Source organism: Homo sapiens, chromosome 14 (genome assembly GCF_000001405.40).
Source record: "Homo sapiens chromosome 14, GRCh38.p14 Primary Assembly".
Classification (NCBI taxonomy): domain Eukaryota; kingdom Metazoa; phylum Chordata; class Mammalia; order Primates; family Hominidae; genus Homo; species Homo sapiens.
This window is the reverse complement of record NC_000014.9, coordinates 67,251,759-67,274,299: the sequence shown is the minus strand read 5'-3', so window position 1 is coordinate 67,274,299 and position 22,541 is coordinate 67,251,759. Positions and strand designations below refer to the sequence as shown.

General features: G+C 38.7%; 2 protein-coding genes across 14 annotated transcripts in view, besides 1 other annotated feature; both read right to left on the bottom strand.

The window, feature by feature from the left end:
* The window catches only part of GPHN (gephyrin), a 1,227,209-nt gene that overhangs the window by 461,056 nt on the left and 743,612 nt on the right, over positions 1 to 22,541 (bottom strand). The window lies entirely within an intron of this gene.
* Positions 1 to 22,541, bottom strand: part of PALS1 (protein associated with LIN7 1, MAGUK p55 family member) — a 94,627-nt gene that overhangs the window by 61,762 nt on the left and 10,324 nt on the right. For 7 of the 13 annotated variants that reach the window (XM_047431691.1, XM_047431696.1, NM_022474.4 and 4 more), the window contains exon 2: positions 4,517 to 4,599. The gene's annotated coding sequence lies outside the window, so the exon portion shown is untranslated. Of the gene's footprint in view, positions 1 to 4,516; positions 4,600 to 19,011; positions 19,471 to 19,989; positions 20,097 to 22,541 lie in introns of all 13 variants that reach the window. The other 6 variants (XM_011537086.3, XM_024449691.2, XM_047431690.1 and 3 more) reach the window with 2 other exon arrangements.
* Positions 17,687 to 17,855: a silencer, noted in NCBI's record as "fragment chr14:67723162-67723330 (GRCh37/hg19 assembly coordinates)". NCBI's record gives its function as "represses an EF-1alpha promoter that drives an FKBP-Casp9 reporter gene in an ReSE screen in K562 erythroleukemia cells {active_cell/tissue: K562}" and the evidence as "EXISTENCE:reporter gene assay evidence [ECO:0000049][PMID:32094911]".

The window sequence follows — 22,541 nt, the reverse complement described above, 5'->3', positions numbered from 1 at the left end:
TACAAAAATTAATTCAAGATGGATTAAAGACTTAAATGTTAGACCTAAAACCAGAAAAACCCTAGAAGAAAACCTAGGCAATACCATTCAGGACATAGGCATGGGCAAGGACTTCATGACTAAAACACCAAAAGCAATGGCAACAAAACCCAAAATTGACAAATGGGATCTAATTAAACCAAAGAGCTTCTGCACAGCAAAAGAAACTACCATCAGAGTGAACAGGCAACCTACAGAATGGGAGAAAATTTTCACCGTCTACCCATCTGACAAAGGGCTAATATCCAGAATCTACAAAGAACTTAAACAAATTTCCAAGAAAAAATCAAACAACCCCATCAAAAAGTGGGCAAAGAATATGAACAGACACTTCTCAAAAGAAGACATTCATGCAGCCAACAGACACATGAAAAAATGCTCATTATCACTGGTCATCAAAGAAATGCAAAACAAAACCACAATGAGATACCATCTCACACCAGTTAGAATGGCGATCATTAAAAAGTCGGAAACAACAGGTGCCGGAGAGGATGTGGAGAAACAGGAACACTTTTACACTGTTGCTGGGAGTGTAAACTAGTTCAACCATTGTGGAAGACAGTATGGCAATTCCTCAGAGATCTAGAACTAGAAATACCATTTGACCCAGCCATCCCATTACTGGGTATATACCCAAAGGATTATAAATCATGCTGCTATAAAGACACATGCACACATATGTTGACTGCGGCACTATTCACAATAGCAAAGACTTGGAACCAACCCAAATGTCCATCAATGATAGACTAGATTAAGAAAATGTGGCACACATACACCATGGAATACTATGCAGCCATAAAAAAGGATGAGTTCATGTCCTTTGTAGGGACAAAGATGAAGCTGGAAACCATCATTCTGAGCAAATTTTCACAAGGACAGAAAACCAAACACTGCATGTTCTCACTCATAGGTGGGAATTGAAAAATGAGAACACTTGGACACAGGGTGGGGAACATCACACATCGGGGCCTGTCGTGGGGTTGGGGAGGTGGGAGGGGGGAGCGATAGCATTAGGAGATATACCTAATGTAAATGACAAGTTAATGGGTGCAGCACACCAACATGGCACATGCATACATATGTAAGAAACCTGCACGTTGTGCACATGTACCCTAGAACTTAAAGTATAAAAAAAAAAAAAAAGAAAGAAATATCACTCCTACTGAAGCATAGAGGGCTGACTGAAGGGTGGCAATGAGAACAGACTGAAAGCACCTATTAGAAATGCGGTCCTCAACTAGGACAGTGAGAATGAAGAAGTTGTTTTCAAGAAATACGAAGGTTACAGGCCAGGCGTGGTGGCTCACGCCTGTAATTCCAGCATTTGGGGAGGCTGAGGCTGAGGCTGTGGATCACTTAAGACTAGTAGTTTGAGACCAGCCTGGGCAATATGGTGATACCCCATCTCTACAAAAACATGCAAAAAATTTAAAAATTATCCAGCCATGGTGGCTTGTGCCTGTAGTCCCAGCTACTCGGGAAGCTGAGGCATGAGAATCACTTGAACCCAGGAGGCAGAGGTTGTAGTGAGCCAAGATCGTGCCACTGCGCTCCAGCCTGGGAGACAGCGCGAGACTCTGTCTCAAAAACAAAAGCAATATGTAGGTTACAGAATCAGTAGAACTTAGTATCTACTTCATATAGGAGGGCAAAAAGTGAATAAGAGAAAGAGGTAAAGGAGGAGGAGGAGAAAGAAGTCATAGGAGTAGGAATAGTGGTAGTAGTAGTAACAACTACAACTATAGCTAACATTTACTGAGCACTTCTTTATGTGCCAGCCAACACTGCAAGCAGTTCACATAGTATTCACTCATTTATTCCTCATTACAACTCCAGAAGTAGATCCAAATATGCCCATTTCGTAGATGAAAAACGAGGTTGGAAGTAGGCCTTAAAGACAAGATGGAGAAATAATAAAGGGGCCATATGAACCAAAGGTGGGAAGATGAAAGGTGTGAGGGGAAAGTACAAATAAGGCTCGTTGAACTAAAATAGTCGAGAGAGTAGTGGAAGATAGGACTAGAAAGTTTGATTGGGTCCATCCTATGAAAGGTCTTAAATACAAATCCTTAATTCCATAGAATAAGAGAATCATCAAAGATTTAAAAAAGAGGAGTGATTTGTATACAAATTTAATTATTTACCCCTGGCTAGATACTATGGTTATTAAGACAGGATCCTTGAACTTTTTTTTTTTTTTTGAGACTCTGTCGTCCAGTTTGAGTGCAATGGCACGATCCCGGCTCACTGCAAACTCCACCTCCCAGGTTCAAACGATTCTCTTGCCTCAGCCTCCTGAGTAGCTGAGATTACAGGCGCCAATCACCATACCCAGCTAATTTTTGTATTTTTAGTAGAGACGGGGCTTCACCATGTTGGCCAGGCTGGTCTCAAACTCCTGACCTCGTGATCCACCAGCCTCGGCCTCCCAAAGTGCTGGGATTACAGGCGTGAGCCACCGTGCCCGGCTGACCATTATTCTATCTATCAGAATTTCCCACAAGAATCTAGAAATATGTCCAAAATTAAACTCATATTTCCCTTTAATCTCCTATTCTCTTTAATCCTCTCCCTGTTTTCAATTCTAACTAATGTCACTACATCCATCCAGTTACCCAAGACAGCATGTTTAAGAGAAAAGCCTCCAGAATCAGACTGCCTAGGATCTGATCTTTGCCTACTCTTTTAAGTCTGAGCTCAAATACACTGTCCTCTGGAATCCTATAATCCCTGTCACATTCTTGATCAAGTTGGACTACTGCTATTTATATCTCTGCCTTTCTATCTCATCAGACTAGAAGCTCCTTGAAGTCAGGAACCAGGCTGACCCATCTCTGAATCCGTAACATTGCCCAGCAGAAGGCCAAACAACAGAAGGCTTCAGAATATGAACCTAGGCAGTATAACTCCAGAACCATCACTCTTAACCACTATCCCTGGCTTATTAGGTAGATGACAATGTCACTAATTATGATGGAGAATATAGGAGAATCAGATAGAAGTAAAGGGAAATATGGGTTTAGACACATTAATTTCAAGGTAACTGTAGATCACACAGGTAAATTATCTAATTGGCAGGGATCCGTCTTGTTGACCTCTATAGCCGTGATACCTGCTAAGTGTTTGCTTAATTAAGTATATGAGCAAACCACTCCTCTGTTCAGAACTTCTGATGGCTTTCACACTACCTGGAGAATAAACTTCAAACTCAAAAAATGAATCCAAGATTTCTAGCTATATCTTTTACTACGCACCTGCATGAGCCTTCTAATTTACCTTCCTCATTTGTGTCTATCCCATCTTTCTGCCCAAATGACTGATGAACTACTTTTCCATTGATTTCTACCTTCAAGACCTCCCTCAAGTCCCTAATTCTACAAGAAATCTTTCCAGACTATCCTGTTAAATAATTACTTCACCATTTAACACTCCAAAAACTCTATAATGCTCACAAGTTAATTTAATGAAGGCAATGAAAGATCCTAAAGTTCTTCCAGAATTAAAGAAACATTATACTGTATCCTATAGTTTTAGCATTAAGATTATAATTTTTAAGCAGGCACTCCACAAATACTCTAGCCCATACATGTAGTCTATATACATCATAAAAGTGAAAAAGTCCTCCCAGTCCAAAGCAATTGCACTCTCCCTCTCTTTAAAAAAAAAAAAAAAAGTCCTTTGACAATTCAGAAGCTGGTAAATGACTGAACTAGAGAATTACCTCATTGTGTGTAAATAACAGGCCATCTTATGAAGACAGCAGAGGCAGTTACTGGCCCTAATTCTTTTCTTCTCAACTTGCCAATTATAAGTTTAAAAAAAAAATAAGAAAGAAAGAAAGCTTCAAAGGACTACATTTCAAATCCTCATCAGAATCCCTGCTCCCATCCCTGCCAGAAAACGAACACAAATACAAAAATCTTTACATAGTCCACAAAGCAAGAAAAATTTTCAGGCTGGCATGCCGAAGCTGTTTCAATGCTAACCTCAAACTAGTAAGGGAGAAAGGGTTTTAGTTGCGGGAGAAGGGGGCAATGGGAAGCTAAATAAGCTTCACAACAAGTGCAAATGATTGAGACTGGAGGGACTGAAATAGCCTAAAGGGTACAGACCCACTGAAAAGGGTACCAACGAATAGAACCATTTGTTTAAGAGCTGAGAATCAAGACAGGTCAGCAGAAATCCAATTTCCTATATTACCAGTATCTTAATTTTTAGGCAGAGTAAAATAGAAGAGATATACTTCATACGCATAAACATGTTCAGTCTACACTAGTGTCCAGAACTCTAGAATTTTTTAAATTCATCCTTCCCCTCTTTCTCCAGCAAGTAATGCCCTTTGACCAGCAGCTGGGAAGTCTCATTTTAAGTGATCAGCATTCCTCTGACATTCTAAGAGGTTAAACTATTTGTTTCCATAGAAACAGCTTTGTCAGCTAAGGCAGAATTCAAGCCAAGAAAAGTGAAAAGAACTTACATTATGCAAACTGGAAAAGCCTTTTCTACTGTCCTTTTAGTTTCTCTTCTCCGGTTTTTCACAAAACTCAAGGCTTTCTTATTCTATAAAAAAGAAAAATGAGACAATTGATCAAATGTACATGTCTGCAGTGTTTTGGGGGGTAAAGGAGGAAGAGAAAGACTAATTCAATATGATAACCAATTCTGTCTGCAGATAGCTAGGATTTCTTAGTCAGAAATCATAAAAATGCACCATGACCCCTGTATCTAATGGACATCAATTTAAAAATTTATGTTGTTGTATATTAGTGCTGTTAGGAATGTCAAATGGAAACTTTCCAATAACACATTGGAAACAGTCTGGCAATTCCTCAAAAGGCTAAACATAGGGTTACCATATCAGCGATTCTACTCCTAGGTATAAATCAAGAGAAATAAAATCATACATCTACACACACACACACAAAAACTTGTACAAAAATATTCATAGCAGCAGTATTCGTAATAGCAAAAAAAGTAGAAAAAATCCAAATGTTCAACTGATGAATTTATTAAAAGTTGTATAATCCTATATGAAACATTATTGGAAAATAAAAATGAAGTAGTGATACATGCTACAACATAGATTAACCCTACAAACAGGATTTAAAGAAGCCAGCAGCAAAGGACCACGACCACATACTGTATGATTCTATTTATGAAATATCCAGAAGAGGCAAATATAGAGAGACAAAAAGTAGATCAGTGGTTGCCTAAAACTGGGGGTGAATGGGTGGGAGAATTATGGCCAAGGCATGCAGGTTTCTCTTGCGGAATGATGCAAATTAATTGTGGTGATGGTTGCACAACTCTAAATATACTAAAATCCACTGAATTTGCACACTTGAAAGGGATGTGTCAGAGGGGTTTGAACCAGAACAACTCCATCTTGAATAGGGGCTGGGTAAAATAAGGCTGAGACCTACTGGGCTGCATTCCCAGGAGGTTAGGCATTCTAAGTCACAGGATGAGATAGGAGGTCAGCACAAAGTCAGGTCACAAAGGCCCTGCTGACAAAACAGGTTGGGGTAAAGAAGCGAGGCAAATCCCGACCTCTGGTTGTGCTCACTGCTCACTATATGCTAATTATAATGCGTTAGCATGCTAAAAGACGCTCCTGCCAGTGCCGTGACAGTTTACAAATGCCATGGCAACGTTAGGAAGTCACCCTATATGGTCTAAAAAGGGGAGGAACCCTCAGTTCTGCGAATTGCCCATCCCTTTCCCCCGGAAAATTCATGAATCCACCCCTTGCTTAGAATATAATCAAGAAGTAACATGTCGGTGTTCTGCCTATGGAGTAGCCATTCTTTCATTCCTTTACTGTCATAAACTTGCTTTCATTTTACTCTATGGACTTGCCCCAAATTCTTTCTCATGCAAGATCCAAGAACCCTCTCTGGGATCTGGATCGGGACCCCCTTCGGGTAACAGATGAATTCGATCGTATGAGAGTTCTATCTCAACAATGCTGTTTAAAAAATACACAATGAAATAACACTACAAACAAGAAAATGGCTAAAATTAAAAAGTGACAATATTAAGCACTGGAGAGAATGTGAAGGAAGGGGAACCTCTATATAATGCTGATGAGAATGTAAAATGGTAGAGTCTGGCAGTTTCTTAAAAAGTTAAACATACAGTTTCCATATGACTGAGACATTCCACACAAGAGAAAGAAATAAACATGTTTTTATCTGTAAAAATCACAAAGAAAGATTTGTAATGAGTATGCATAGGAGCAATATTAATAATAGTCTAAAACCACACACTATCCTTCAGCTGGGAATGAATAAATAAAAAATAGAATACAATGGATAAAATGGAATAAAATGGATAAACAAAAAATGCAATAAGAAAGGACAAACTACTGACATATCCAACAACACAGTCTCAAAAACACAATGCCAGACACGAGTATGATTCCATTTGTGCAAAATTTCTAGAAAATGCAAAACTAGTGCTATTACAAAAAGCAGTTTGGTGGTTTCCTGGAGATGGAAACAGATTCTGACTGAAAAAGGCAAGGAGGAAATGTTTTCATGTGATAAAAGTGTCCTAATATTAGATTTCAGTGACAGTCTGCATGACTATATAAATTTACTAAAACTTAAACTGTTCCCATAAAACCTAAATCTTATAAAATATAAATTATACCTCAATAAACCCGTTTTGAAAATTCATTAAATTGAACACTTAAAATTACTGAATTTTGCTGGGTGCAGTGGCTCATGCCTATAATCCCAGCACTTTGGGAGGCCAAGGTGGGTGAATCACCCGAGATCAGCAGGTCAAGACCAGCCTGGCCAACATGATGAACCCCCATCTCTACTAAAAATTAGCCAGGTGTGGTGGTGCATGCCTGTAATCCCAGCTACTTGGGAGGGGGAGGCAGGAGAATCACTTGAACCTGGGAGGCAGAGGTTGCAGTGAGCCAAGATTGCACCATTGCACTCCAGCCTGGGCGACAAGAGTGAAATTCCGTCTCATTAAAAAATAAATAAATAAATAATGAATTTTAATTGAAGTTATACCTATTCAGCTGATTTTAAAAGAAAACAAAACCTCAAATTATACACTTAAAATGACATCTTGTTGCATGTAAATTATATCTCAAAGAAACCAAATTTATATTTATTTATTTATTTGTTTGTTTGAGACAGGGTCTTGCTCTGTGAGACAGGCTGGAGTGCAGTGGCACAATCTTGGCTCACTGGAACCTCTGCCTCCCCAGGCTCAAGTGATCTTCCCGCTTCAGCCTCCTGAGTAGGTGGGTACAGGAATGGGCCACCACGCCTGGCTAATTTTGTATTTTTAGTAGAGATAGGGTTTCACTGTGTTGCCCAGGCTGGTGTCGAACTCCTAGGCTCAAGTGATCTGTCCACCTCGGCCTCCCAACATGCTGGGATTACAGGCATGAGCCACTGTGCCCAGCCAAGAAACGAAGTTTTTTTAAAAGATAACTGTATATTCCAAAAACAAGTCGTATACTGACATCACATAAAAGACTCTATTTACTTGATAACTGTGTAACTTCTTGTATGAATTTAAGTTTCCAACAATGAATGACCTATCTTTGCAGAAGAAACTTAGCTATGTCCAAAACTAAATAAATACAAGTAAAAACTGAAATATTTCAGCTGGGCGAGGTGGCTCATGCCTGTAATCCCAACACTTTGGGAGGCCGAGGCATGTGGATCACTTGAGGTCAGCAGTTTGAGACCAGCCTGGCCAACATGGTGAAACCCTGTCTCTACTAAAAATACAAAAATTAGCCAGGCATGGTGGCAGACACCTGTAATCCCAGCTACTCGGCAGGCTGAGGCATGAGAATTCCTTGAACCCAGGAGGCAGAGGCTGCAGTGAGCTGAGATCACGCCACTGCACTTCAGACTGGGCAACAGAGTGAGACTCCTCAAAAAAAAATTGAAATATTTGAATTACTCATGCAGTGGATTAGCTCTGAAATTATTATTCAGTAAAAAAGGCACAACCTAAACAAAAATAAAGTCCCCATGATCTAACTAAAAAACGAGTTCTTACATTACAGAACTAAAAAGACTTTTAAATAAATATATATTTCTTTAATTTTAAACATATATTCAAAGTAAACTGAACTCGTTTAACTCAATGGGCACAATATAAAAGAAGTTTTTACACCAGGGATGGTGGCTTACATTTGTAATCCCAACACTTTGGGAAGCAGAGACAGGAGTATCACTGAGACCAGGAGTTTGAGACAGCCTTGGCAACACAGTGAGACCTTGTCTCTACAAAAAATAAATAATACTTTTACAGATTTTTTTTAAAAGTTTTTTAATGGACAGATACAGTCCTTTAAATTACAAGACCAAGTGCAAATGTCCTGGGTTTACTTTGTTTTCTTTTTTCCTTTTTTTTTTTTTTTGAGATGGAGTCTCACTCTGTCACCCAGGCTGGAGTGCAGTGGCGCGATTTTGGCTCACCACAACTGCCACCTCCCGGGTTCAAGTGATTCTCATGCCTCAGCCTCCAGAGCAGCTGGGATTACAGGGGCGTGTCACTGCAACTGGTTAATTTTTGTATTTTTAGTAGAGACAGGGTTTTACCATGTTGGCTAGGCTGGTCTTGAACTTCTGACCTCAGGTGATCCACCTACCTTTGCCTCCCAAAATGCTGGGATTACAGGCGTGAGCCACTGCGCTGGCTTTTTTATTTTTCTTTTAAATAGAGATAGGGTCTCGCTCTGTTGCCCAGGCTGGAGTGCAATGGCATAATCACAGCTCACTGTAGCCTCAAACTCCTGGCTCATGCAACCCTCCCACCTCAGCCTCCTGTGTAGCTGGGACTACAGGCACACGCCACCATCCAGCTACTTTTTGTTTATTTTCTTAGAGACAGAGTCTCAGTATGTTGCCCAGTCTGGTCTTCAACTCCTTGCCTCAAGAGTCCTCCCACCTCAGCCTCCCGAATCTCTGAGATTACAGGCATGAGTCACCATGCCCAGGCTCTGGGTTTACTGTTTAGTAGAACACCCTAACAAGTCCTATAATAAAAGGCATTTCTAAAATTCCATATAGTTCATGGTTTAGGCTTCTGATCAAAGTACCTTCATTTGTCATCCAGATAATTACATTCCAAAGAAACAACTGCTATTTTCATAGCTTAAAAACAAACTGTATTTAGAATATACTATACCAGACAAAATTTGTAAGGAATGGAAGCAAAATCCCAATTTAAAAAATCTTCAAAGTAAAAACCCAGTAAGATTTCAAAGGAGAATAAAGAGTAACATGTATTATAACTTAAACCCACATAAATCATCTGCCCTCATGGATGGAAAAAAAAAATATGATTCCTGACAATTCTGTTGGATATCAATAAGGCAGTATCATTAGCTTAGAAGATACATCTTTCTCAGATGTAAACTTGAGACTTAACAGCTTTTGCATTTCTGGCAAAAAGCATATATATAACACATCTGTAACTGAAAGATTTAGTTTACAAGTTCCTATTCTCACCCCATGATTCTAGGCCATACAATGGCTTTGGGATAAAAATTAAAACAAGGTAATGTGGACAAAAGAGCTCGAAAAAAACACTGTTGCATTTACAATTTACTAACCATCTAGATCCTAAAATATTCATTTACAAATTTTATTAAAAAATTTATTTCCACACTGGATATCTACATGCAGAACAATGAAAATGGACCTTTACTCATACCATTTACGGTACAAAAATCAACTCAAAATGGATTCAAAAACTTAAACGTGAGATCAGAAAGTGCAAAACTGCTACAAGAAAACACATGAAAAAATAACACAACATGGGTCTGGCCAATGATTTTTTTTAATTTGACCCCAAAAGCACAGGCAACAAAGGCAAAAACAGACGAATGAGATTACATCAAATAGCCAAAACCTACTTAGTGATCATAGCTAATACTATTAATATTTACTGATTCTCACTATGTACTCAACACTGTGCTACATATGTTAAATATACTTAATCTTTAAACAATTCTACAAATTTAAATACCACTGTCATCCCCAATGACAAACGAGGAGACAGGTTTTAAAAAACAGTATTTGGCCTAACAAACACTTTAAAATAAACATTCTACAATTTTAACGGGTACTCTTGTACATATGGTTGCATGTCCACGACATCATCTAATCCTTACACCAACCTTATATGTTCATTTAAAGAAATTATTGCCGAGTGCCATGGCATGCACCTGTAGTCCCAGGTGCTTGCATGGGAGCCTGAGGTGGGAGGATCACTTAAGCCCAGGAGTTCACGGCTATAGTGGGGCTATCATCATGCCTGTGAATAGCATACACCAGCCTGGGGCAATACAGTGAGACCCCACCTCTAAAAAAATAGAAAGAATTACTACCCCTATTTTACAGAGGACAAGAGCAGAACAATTATTTAAATGGTTGAGTAAGCAGTGATGGAGGAGGTCACAGTAGAAGTAAAAGCAGCAACACTACTTGCTAGGCACAGTGCCAACAGTTTCCTATATATCTTCTCACTTAATCCTTCCAACTCCTCAAAGTTATCATCAGTTTACAAATGAGAAAAACAAGTAGGGAGAGGTTAAGTTGTTTTTCGAGGTCAGAAATCTAAGTGGTAGAGCCAAAACACACACCAAGTCTGTATGACATCAGAACAGAAGCATTTAACTGTTGCCATTATTTTTCTTTAGTCTTATCCTATACTAAGAGAAGAGAGGGAAAATCTTTAAAGATTAATTCTTAGTTCAGTGTTTCGAAGGGTACCTTCCTAAGATTTCCTTCACTTGTTCATAGAGATTCTCTTTTAAACAATGAAATTCTATGAAGTACATTTGCATATTCAAATACCTAATAGTCTCTTCTTGTTTTTTTATCCCTAAAGTTGAGCTCTGACCTTAAGTACTCCCAGGGCACAAGGGGACTGCATACTTCACCATTTTCCTTTACAAATCTGAATATCCCTGTTTACCCTGCAATATAAAGGGGTGGGAGGAGGACAAGAGAGCATCATGATTCTTTTCAATTAGACAAATTAGGGTCCCTATATATTACACATAACATTTCCTGAAGTAAAAAGTGTTTCATTTTTCATCAACAGAAAATTCCCTATTTGCTCCTAATAAACACAAAATTGAAGGCCTTTGGAAATATTCAAGACCACACGCTCATGGCAGAAACTGGTTAGAAGCTAAAGAGTATCAAGGATATCAAATGGTTGGTTACTTGAACTGCTCTATTATCACCTTCAACTCCTTAGCAATAAAAGATTAAATGTATCTAAAAGGCTAGCAAAGTTTTTTTTAAAGGCACTAGGATAAAAGGTAATTTATAACATTTTCAAACTGGCTAGAAATGGGTTTTTAAACATGTGGTTTAAAATTACCTGCAATATGGCTTTGCTGTATATGGCTAATAATGAAGAATATATATGGCCTAGTTGGAGAATAAGACCAGTCTAGTTAACAAACAGAGCCACCGTAAGAGATAGAAGATAAAGACAGAGTTGACTCTGAATGCTACACTAAATTGTTTGAATTTTCTCCTGCAAATAATGGGAGACTAAAGGTTTCTGAGTTAGAAAAGAACAACAAAACAGATTTTCTGAAAGCTAAATCTACTCTATACTGTAACCAGAGTTGACTAGGGTAAAATGTAAGTGGAGTGGCCAATAAAGACAATGTTTTATTCCTTTACACATGGCAGGATAAAGGGAAGTAGCAGAAGGAATGAAAAGTGATCACTTCAAACAATGGTTATTATAAAGAATGATTTCACAGGATTTGGAGACCAGGAGCCAAACAGAGTTTTAAAATACTGAGTATGTCAACTGAGTCTGGGAGAATTATGGAACCTTAAAATAGGAAAATGCATAGAATAAGGTCTCTGGATTCGAGGCGGGGATAGGGATAAGAATTGGAAAAGAGAAGATACATTCTATTTTTTAATTATTGCATTTATACTGGGAGTTTTAGCAGGTTAACTGCTAGACAGGACACAAAAGGGATAGGCTAGAAGGGCAAATTTATAAGTAATTTACATACTTATATCTTACATTTGTAAAATATTTTTATTTTTACAGCTGATTCCAAGTATATTATCTCATTTGATCTCTACAATTGCCCTGAAAGGTAGACAGGTCAGATATCTGTTTTCCACATATGTAGGCACTGAAAGTTAAGTCACATAGCTAGAAGCAATAGAACATTAACTAAAATTCAGATGGGTAAATCCTAATGTGCATCCACAGTGCTGTGTTAGTTACATGTCTGTAAGATACCATGCTGACTACATGCTTCCTTCAAAATCCCATCCTTTTTTTGCCTTTAAAATATGATCAGAGAAAATTTATCTTTTCCCTTCAATTGACTGCTTCATAAAATAAATTTTAACACAATCATTAATTTCACTGTTACATATGCTAACAGACTACAAGTTTATTTTAGTACCTGATTGTGGTAACAAGATATCTATTGCTCAAAGTACCTAAAAAAAACTCAGTTTACCAAGCAGCGAAGGCAATCAAGTAGAGAAATGGTAGATATGTGTGTGAATTTTCCTACTACATATGTAAAGTGATACTAGGCTACCAACATTCCAGTTTCCTACAACAATATAAAAAATTTTATTCTCTATTCTGCATTGCTCTAATTTCAGTATGTGCTGGCAAAGTGAGCCACATGTCATAACTTGACAAACTGTTTTTAATAATATTTATAGCTTAAAAATGAATATCCTAAAAATATAATAGACTCCTGTTATACAAATTAGCTATCCTCCTGGGGTAAAACTGAAGTATTTTCAAAATCGTAACTGTAATATCCCTAAACATACTTATAACTATACCAACTCCCATCAATTCTACCTCTGTATCTCACATACACTCTTAGCTTCTCCCTTCTCATGCCACTACCTTAAATCATAATATACATTATCTCTTGCATGGGTTTTTCTATGAGCATCTTAACTTTTCTATGAGTTTCTCTCCAACCTGTCTTTTCTAATTGCCAATCATTTTACACAGTATTGCCAGATTAACTTTCCGAAGCACTCCTACCACCACAACAGTGTCCCTTTTCAAGTTTTTATTGTCTTTTCTTTAAGCTATTGTTTCCTGAGAATTTACTATGTACCATTCATTCACTATGCTAAGCACCTGACATACATTATCTCATTTAATCCTCACAGCAGTCTCCTTGTTCAATTTTGTATCTTAACAAAATAAATACTTGTCCAATGTCAAAAGCTAAATGGCACAGCTAGGGCCTGGAGTCTGCTTGACTCCAGGGCATTTTAACAACTATTCTGCAGAACACCTTAGCCTGACATTCATATGGCTCCACTTGACTTAGTCCTAGAATACTTTTTCCATTTTCTTTCTCCCTCCCCTGTCTTCTGAATCAAACTACTTGCTGTTTCCCATATGAGCCCTGCAATTTCCCACCTCCTTTGGGAAGTGTCCACATTCCCAAAGGAAGTTTATTAATTTAATAGTCAACTCTTATAGCACTTATTTTGTGTACTGCTTATATTTAGTCATTAAACTTTGACATACTGCTTATATTTTGTCATTAAACTTTTGACATATTGTTTCTTATACCAAGAAAAAATCCTCTCTTCAACTTTTTATCTGTTAAGATTTTCCTCTTCCATCAAGTATCCTATGAAATCTTAATTTTGCCTGCCCTCTCTCTCCTCTACAAACTACCCTTCTAGAGTACTTAATCTACGCCTTTGCTGTAGCATTTATTGTCTACCTTGAAATCAGAATGTCTATTAATTGCAAGCCCCCGAGGCAAAGTTTGTTAACTCATATTTGATGAGTTCGTAACATATAAAATATATTGTGCTATATACAAATATTTTTTGAATGAAAATCTTTTTAATCTTTTTGACCAAAGAACCACTTAATGAGAGAGAGGAGGGTTGTGCCTTCTTACCACGAATGTCCTCCCATCCAAGTACTAACCAGGCCTGACCCTGCTTAGCTTCCAAGATCAGACAAGATCAGGCACAGTCAGGGTGGTATGGCCGTAGAGGAATGTCCTCATTCATAATTTTACGAATACAGTTAAATCAATATGGATTGCTGGAAGATGGAGAGCTGGCGCTTAAACCTAAAATTTATTCTAAGAACAGAGTATCACTTATTAGAGAGATGCATAAGTTCTGGTCATTCTTCTATTAAACTAATATTTTCCTTTAAATAAATGAGGAAGAGTAATAGTTTCTGTTTAAATCTCTCTCCTGGGGACAATGTTTCCAAGACTGGAAAAACTATAAATTCTGGTAGAATGAAGAAATAATAAACAGAAAGTTAAAGTAGAAGAAACTTAAGACAAATACATTTACGAAATACATATATTCTTTTTTTTTTTTTTTTTCTTAGATGGAGCACAATCATAGCTCACTGCAGCCTCAAACTCCTGGGCTCAAGCAATCCTCCTGCTTCAGCCTCCCAAGTAGCTGGGACTACAGGCGCATGGCACCATGCCTGGCTAATTTTATTTTATTTTTTGTATAGATGGAGTCTTCCTATGTTGCCCAGGCTGGTCTTAAATTCCTGGGCAAAGGGATCCTCCTGCCTCAGCCTCTCAGGGCGCTGGGATTACAGGCATAAGCCAGCATGCATGCAAGCATTCATGTATTTATTTAGAGACAGTCTTGCTCTGTTGCCCAAACTGAAGTGCAGTGGCTCAATCTTGGCTCACTGCAACCTCTGCCTCCTGAGTTCACGCAATTCTCCTGCCTCAGCCTCCTGAGTAACTGGGATTACAGGCGCCCAACACTACACCCGGCTGATTTTTTATATTTTTAGTAGAGACGGGGTTTCACCGTGTTGGCCAGGCTGGTCTCAAAGTCCTAACCTCAAGTGATCCGCCTGCCTTGGCCTCCCAAAGTGCTGGGATTACAGGTGTGAGCCACCGCCCCCAGCCTGGCCTTACTCACTTAAAAGTAGTCCATTATTTTTTACTTTCATTCACTTTGGGCTAAAGTAAAAATTAAAATATAGCAAACAGAAACAGGGTATACATGTATAGAAATCGGGCATGTGTATATGTTATATATACATACATAGAACATTCAGGGTACCATTTATGACAATGTTAAAAGTTAAAATCGGCCTGGTGCAGTGGCTCACATCTGTAATCCCAGCACTTTGGGAAGCCGAGGCAGGCGGATCACTTGAGGCCACGAGTTCGAGACCAGCCTGACCAACATAGTGAAAGCCTGTCTCTACTAAAAATACAAAAATTAGCCAGGCATGGTGGCACGCGCCTGTAGTCCCAGCTACTCGGGAGGGTGAGGCAGGAAAATCACTTGAACCCGGGAGGTGGGAGGCTGCAGTGAGCAGAGATCACACCACTGCACTCTAGCCTGGGAAACAGAGAGAGACTCCATCTCAAAAGAAGGTTAAAATCATCCGAACATATTTCCTTAAAAAAAGAAAAGAATGATTAAAGCAAATAATGCATAACAAAATAACTTATTAAGAACTATTACTTTGTTATTAAGGAGTTAACAGTATCAAGGCAGTCTGAAGGCTGGGCATAGTGGCTCATGCCTGTAATCCCAGCACTTTGGGAGGCCGAGGCAGGTGGATCACTTGAGTCCAGGAGTTCAAGACCGGCCTGGGCAAGATAGTGAAACCTCATTTCTACATAAAGTACAAAATATAGGCAGTTGTGGTGGCGTGTGCCTATAGTCCCAGCTACTTGGGAAGCTGAGGCAAGAGGATCACCTAAGCCTGGGGAGGTCAAGGCTGCAGTAAGCTGTGATCACACCACGACCCTCCAGCCTGGACAACAGTTGCAATCCTCCTGCCTCAATCCCCCAAGTAGCTGGGACTACAGGCACCCACCACTACAGCCGGCTAAGTTTTTGTATTTGTGGTAGAGACGGGGTTTCGCCACATTGCCCAGACTAGTCTCGAACTCCTGAGCTCATGCGATCCACCTGCCTTGGGATCCCAAAGTGCTAGAATTACAGGAGTGAGCCACGGTGCCTGGCCTATTATCAAATTTTTATGGATGAGTACCTTATCTTCTCAACTAGACTGCAAATATTCTATAGACTTCCCATCTACTGGTAGTGGCTCTGAGAACCCTGCACACTGCTATCTATGTATGCTCATATTAGAAACTCAATACGTGCTGCATTAAATTTGAATATTTAAATACTAGATAAGACAGGAAGAGAAAAACCACACCTACCTATTGCCAAACATTTAATAACTCAAGAGGAGAGAGATTTTTCCCAAATTATTCAATGACAATCGAATGAAGTAGTTAAATGATGCAAATATTCACTACCTTGGTGACAGCAATGTTTTTACACACTCCATATAAGGGGCCCCTAATATACAACTTTTGTGTTGCATATGTGTTGTACGTATAGTTGTGTAACACAAAATTATGTGTGTATTTTTTAAAAAAAGCAAACAGTTCCATTAAACCTACTATGAAGAACAATTCAGTGTCTCACCTCCTCTACCTGAGTTCTGCATAGAGAACACTTTTAACTCTCAGTTTCTTCTTAAACTTACCTTCATATTTCTAGTGACATGTATAAAAATAGGCTGTATGTTATATATACATACATATATACATATATAAAATACGTGTGTATGTTCTATGTATACATACATGCCATTTCTTTTTTTTTTAGTTATCTGTTGAGCATTTATTATGAAGATGAATATTTAGCTGTCTCTCATAGTACATTCCCTCTCTCCACAAGTTGTGTCTCACTTTTTATTTAAATCACTAATACATCCTGTGAAAGCAAAGTAAGTATCAGGACCCCAAAACCACTAAGCCAAGGAAAAGTCAAGCTGGGAACTATGTCAGACAAACCTGTCTCCTGGTTTTTTCCTAAATAAGATAGCTACAAGGATAAAAAGCTACATACCTCCCTCACCATTTGCCCACAAGGAAATTCCTTGTGGATAAAGGACAGACAGAACTCAGTCACCCCTCTGAGGTTCACCTGAGACAAATGCATATCTGATTGCTTCCTCTGCCCTATGGTTTATGTAAAAATGCAGATTCACTGGGCCAGACTAAACCGTGTATTCAGTGAAAGACTGATCAAGGACTCGAAAGAATGCAACCATTTGTCTCTTACCTACTTATGATCCCCGCTAACTCTTATCAACTGAAAGCCCCCGCCTCAAGTTGTTCCGTCTTACCGGATCAAACCAACGTACATATTGATGTCTCATGTCTCCCTAAAACGTATTTAAAAAAAGCTGTACCCCGATCACCTTGGGCACCTGTCGTCAGGACCTCCTGAGGCTGTGTCACAGCCGCGTCCTTAGCCTTGGCAAAATGAGACCTGTCAGATATTTTGGGTTCACAATACCCACATTCTTTGGTAAAAAGAATCAATATTTTTTTAATGTATACATTCAAACAAATCAGGTAACCTATCAGTTTCATGTGTGTGTGTGTGTGTGTGTGTGTGTCAATAGTTTCTGGAACACTTCGTCCTCCTACTTACTCTATTAGATTTTTTTCTTTCTGCCCTGTCTCTACTAAAATACAAAAATTAGTCAGGTGTGGTGGCACATGCCTGTAATCCCAGCTACTTGGGAGGCTGAGGCACGAGAATCACTTGAATCTGGGAGGCTAAGGTTGCAATGAGCCAAGATCACACCACTGCACTCCAGCCTGGGCAACAGAGCGAGACTCCATCTCAAAAAACAAAAAGAAAAAAGAAAAAAGGATATAAAGTATCTCATTTATTTATATTTACTACAAGTTGAAATGGTAATAATTTTGATATACCTTTATTGTATTAAATAAAATACACTGTTAAAATTAATTTCATGGTTTCTTTTCACTTGTTTTTTTAAAATATATAATACCCAGACTAGTCTGATCTTTCTACTTTTTATTGTGACTACTAGAGCATGAAGCTCTTTATGAACTGACATGAAACAAACGCAAGTGAAAAAGGCAAGCTTCAGAACAGTGTTTATCTACCATCCCATTTTTACAAATATACATAGAAGATGTTTATAAAGTTATTAACAAAATATTCAGAAGAATATATACAATATTGTTTTCAACTAATATCTCTGAAAAATGAGGATAATAGACCAAATATTCCCTACTTTCCACTTCTATACTATTTGGATATCTTACAAAATATTCACACAAAAAAAGTATGTGTTGCTTTTATAATTTGAGGAAAAAACACAAAGATATTACTTTTCTGAAAACAAACAAATATTGAAACTTTAAATTACAATTACTTATTAAAGTCAGTTGGTTGAGCACAGAGGCTCACAACTGTCTGTAATCCCAGCACTTTGGGAGGCCAAAGCATGTGGATCACTTGAGGTCAGGAGTTCCAGACCAGCCTGGCCAACATGGTGAAACCCCGTCTCTACTAAAAATACAAAATTAGCCAGGCATAGTGGCAGGTGCCTGCAATCCCAGCTACTAGGGAGGCTGAGGCAGAAGAATTGTTTGAACCCCGGTGGGTAGGGGCAGAGGTTGCAGTGAGCCCAGATTGCACTACTGCACTACAGCCTGGGCAACAGAGCGAGACTCCATCTCAAAAACAAAACAAAATAGCAGGAACAAAACTCTTTCAAGCGTTCTGGAACCTTTAAATTAAGAAAAGTAATCGAAGTGTTATCTCTCAAGCCCTAAGCAATTTCATAAGCAGTGCAACAATAAAATAAGAATTTCTAAATAAATCACTTATGCAATCATTAGGGTCATGGCTCTTTAGTATTTAGGAATTCCTCAACCACACAAATAAATCATATATATTACATTTTTAATTTTAAAATGTAAGAAAGCAGTTTACCAAAGGAATAAAAGCATTAATTATATGAAAAATTCCAAAAAAGACCTCTAACACTTTCAAATATGTCAGGTTCATGATTCTGATTACATTTATTCTTTCATCACGTAAATAACTCACAATGACAAACTCAAAGAATCCTAATTACCAAACTCACATGGCTATTGCTTTGCTCTCAATGTACTCCATGCAGATTTTCTTCATTCCCTTTAATCAATTACCTTCCCTGAAAAACGTGTCTGAAGTGTCAGGCTTCTAAAAAAGCATTATAAGAGATTCGAACTTTTTTTTTTTTTGAGAGATGGAGTCTCGCTCTGTTGCCAGGCTGGAGTGCAGTGGCACAATCCTGGCTCACTGCAACCTCCGCCTCCCAGGTTCAAGCGATTCTCCTGCCTCAGCCTCCTGAGTAGCTGGGACTACAGGCGTGCGCCACCACACCCAGCTAATTTTTGTATTTTTAGTAGAGAAGAGGTTTCACCATGTTGGCTAGGATGGTCTCAATCTCTTGACCTCGTGATCTGCCCGCCTTGGCCTCCCAAAGTGCTGGGATTACAGGTGTGAGCCACTGCGCCCGGCCAGAGATTCCAACTTCTAACTTCAAGTGATTTACAGCTTACTAGAGAAAAAATTATGTTCCAAAGGTTAGCAAATTAGTAGATGATTACCTCTACCTAGATCGCTTATTGGTATGCAAATCAAAAACACTGGCCATTAAAGGCAGGTGGGGGGATAGTTTGCTTGTCACTGAAGAAATACCAAATAACCATTTCAGAGTTATCAGAACTAATAAGGACTCATATCTGGTGCTATCTATAAATTAAACTGAAGCAGTGACAGTAGAGAGTATTTCAGGACAAGTACGACTGTATCAGTAGAAAAGGAAAAAAGAAAAATCTGATAAGAAAGGAAGGCTAATGAGAATACAAATGTCAACAGGTTTAGAGTACAATTAACTTTTATTATGGTAGTACTGCTGACTGAGGGTATGAGTAATGCTCTGATTTTGACAAGACAGTCTTACAGGGGAGGAAAGCATATGAGGATATTCTTATAAACAAGAAATAAGAATAAAAGGTCAATCTATAAGATAACTATACTGCAAATCTAATAGGAAAAAGGGTTAAGCTAAAACTACCTTTTCATTCAACAAGGCGAGTACCCACTTGGTACCAAAAACTTGGATAGTCATTGTCAAGAAAAAGGCTGCTGAGGCAGAGTCCGTATCCTTAAGAAACTTAAAATCTAAAAAAAAAAAAAAAAAAAGAAAGACACTTAAAATCTAGTATAGATATCAGATAAGTAAACAAATAAAAAACCAATACAGTGCTATTTGGTAAATGCCACACTAGAACTGTAGAAAATGTCACAGGAGTTACTTGTAGAAGAAGAGCATCCTAAGAAAACTTGTAAGGGGGGGGGGATGAATATAAGGCCCAAAAAAGACATGAAAGACATCCATTACTCAAAATGGAAAAAAAAAAACAAAACAAAATATTAACACAAACACACTGATATCAGTAAACAAATGCTCTATCCAAGCCTAAGATTTTGAATCACCATAATGAAACTGAACTCTGGAAATGATGTCTTTTTTTTTTTTTCTTTTTGAGACAGGGTCTCACTGTTGCCCAGACTGAAGAGCAGCAGCACAAACATGGCTCACCACAGCCTTGACTTTCTGGGCTTAGGTAATCCTCCCACCTGAGCCTCCCAAGTAGCTGGGACTACAGGAATGCAAACCCAGCTAATTTTTTTGTATTTTTTGTAGGTACAGGGTCCCACTATGTTGTCTAGGCGGGTCTGGAACTCCTGGGCTCAAGCAGTCCTCTTGCCTCAGTCTCCCAAAGTGCTGGGATTACAGGCATAAGCTGCTGCGCCTGGCCTAACTACGTCATTTTTAAAGTCTATTTAAAAATGTGTAGTGAAAACAACCTACTGAAAAACACCCCAGAGTAATTCTTGAGTCAAATAGAGAAGCTGATAAAGCTGAACAGAACTTAATCTCACTATATAAGTAAACTGTTTAGGACAACAAATTGTTTTCTCTCATTTGACTTTCACTATTATTTCAGAGATTAGAAAGCTGACCTCAACATACAATTATAATTATTCATCATTACCTCAGACTATAACAACCAAGTCACACAACTCCTATCTCTTATCTAACATTGAAAGAGTGCTTAATATGTATATACTAACACCATGCCTACCATTCTTGATGTACCATCTCAATCCTCAAAATAAAACCTACTGAATTAAGCATCCCCATTCTGCAGATAAGGAATCAGGCTTTGATAAGTTAACCTGTTCATTGTCACACACAAGTCAAGAGAGTATTTCTGCAGACATCTGACTCTATAATCTGTAAAAGTACTGTAAGTCAGTGATAGTACTGTAACTGCACTGTAAAGCCTGTCAGTATGTGCCTATGGAAAAACAAGAAAAAGTCATCAGCAAATTAATACATTTATGGTTATGTCTTTGTAGAAAAAGCTAATCAAGAACATGTGAAAGTGTTAGATTTCCTCCCAGTAAACACATTTATGGCCAACCTAGAATAAATGAAATTGTGTTTCAAATGTCAAATTATCTGTTTATGGGAGATGACTAGAACAGAACAGTCTCTAATATTTAGCTCACAGCAAGGCTAAAGTTTAAACAAATAAATGATAAAAGTACAAATTGAAACCAAGCATCTACTATGTGCCATTCCGAGCTTTTTTTCATTCTCAACACTGATGACATCAAATGTGTGGGTCTTTTCCTCACACCAATTCTCTGGACACCGACTGGGTGTCCTACAATTCAATTTCATTCTGACACTATCTACCTGGAGTTACAATCAGATCCCACAAGCTAATGGCTCAGTCCCAAAAGACTGCCCCAGACTTCAGATGCCAGCCACAAGTTTTGGGCCTCCTGTACTTCACACCACCCAGCTATTCATCAGGGGTTCCCATGACCACTCCTCAGGTTCAATAGTTTGCTAAATGCTGAGCACGGTGGCTCACTCCTGTAATACCAGCACTTTGGGAGGCCAAGGCTGGAGGACTGCTGGAGACCAGGAGTTTAAGACCAGCCTGGGCAGCTCAGCAAGACCTCATCTCTACAAAAAATAAAAATAAAATTAGCTAGGTATGGTGGTGCACGCCTATTTGAGCCCAGGAGTTGAAGGCTGCAGTGAGCTATGATCATGCCACTGCACTCCAGCCTGGGTGACAGAGCAAGACCTTGATTCTAAGAAAAACAAAAAATAAATAAATAAAAATAATTTGCTTGAATGGCCCCAGAACTCAGAAAGGCACTTTACTTACTATTACTGGTTTATTATAAGGGATACAACTCAGGAATAGCCAAATGGAAGAGATGCAAAGAGCAAGGTTTAGGCGGGTGGTGTGGAGCTTCCATGCCTTCTCCAGTCAAACCAGCCTCCCAGCACCTTGAAATATTCGCCAACCCAGAATCTCTCCAAACACTGTCATTTAGGAGTTTCATTAGATGGGCATGATTAAATTACTGGCCATTGGTGACTGGCTATCTCTAGCCCCTCTTTGCCTTCCCAGAGGTTGAAGGTGGGGCCCCATGCCTTGGTCTTTCTGGCAACCAGCCCCTAACCTGAAGCTATTATAGGGGCCTGCCAAGAGTTGACTCACTGAAACAAAAGATGCTCTTATCACCCTCATTCAA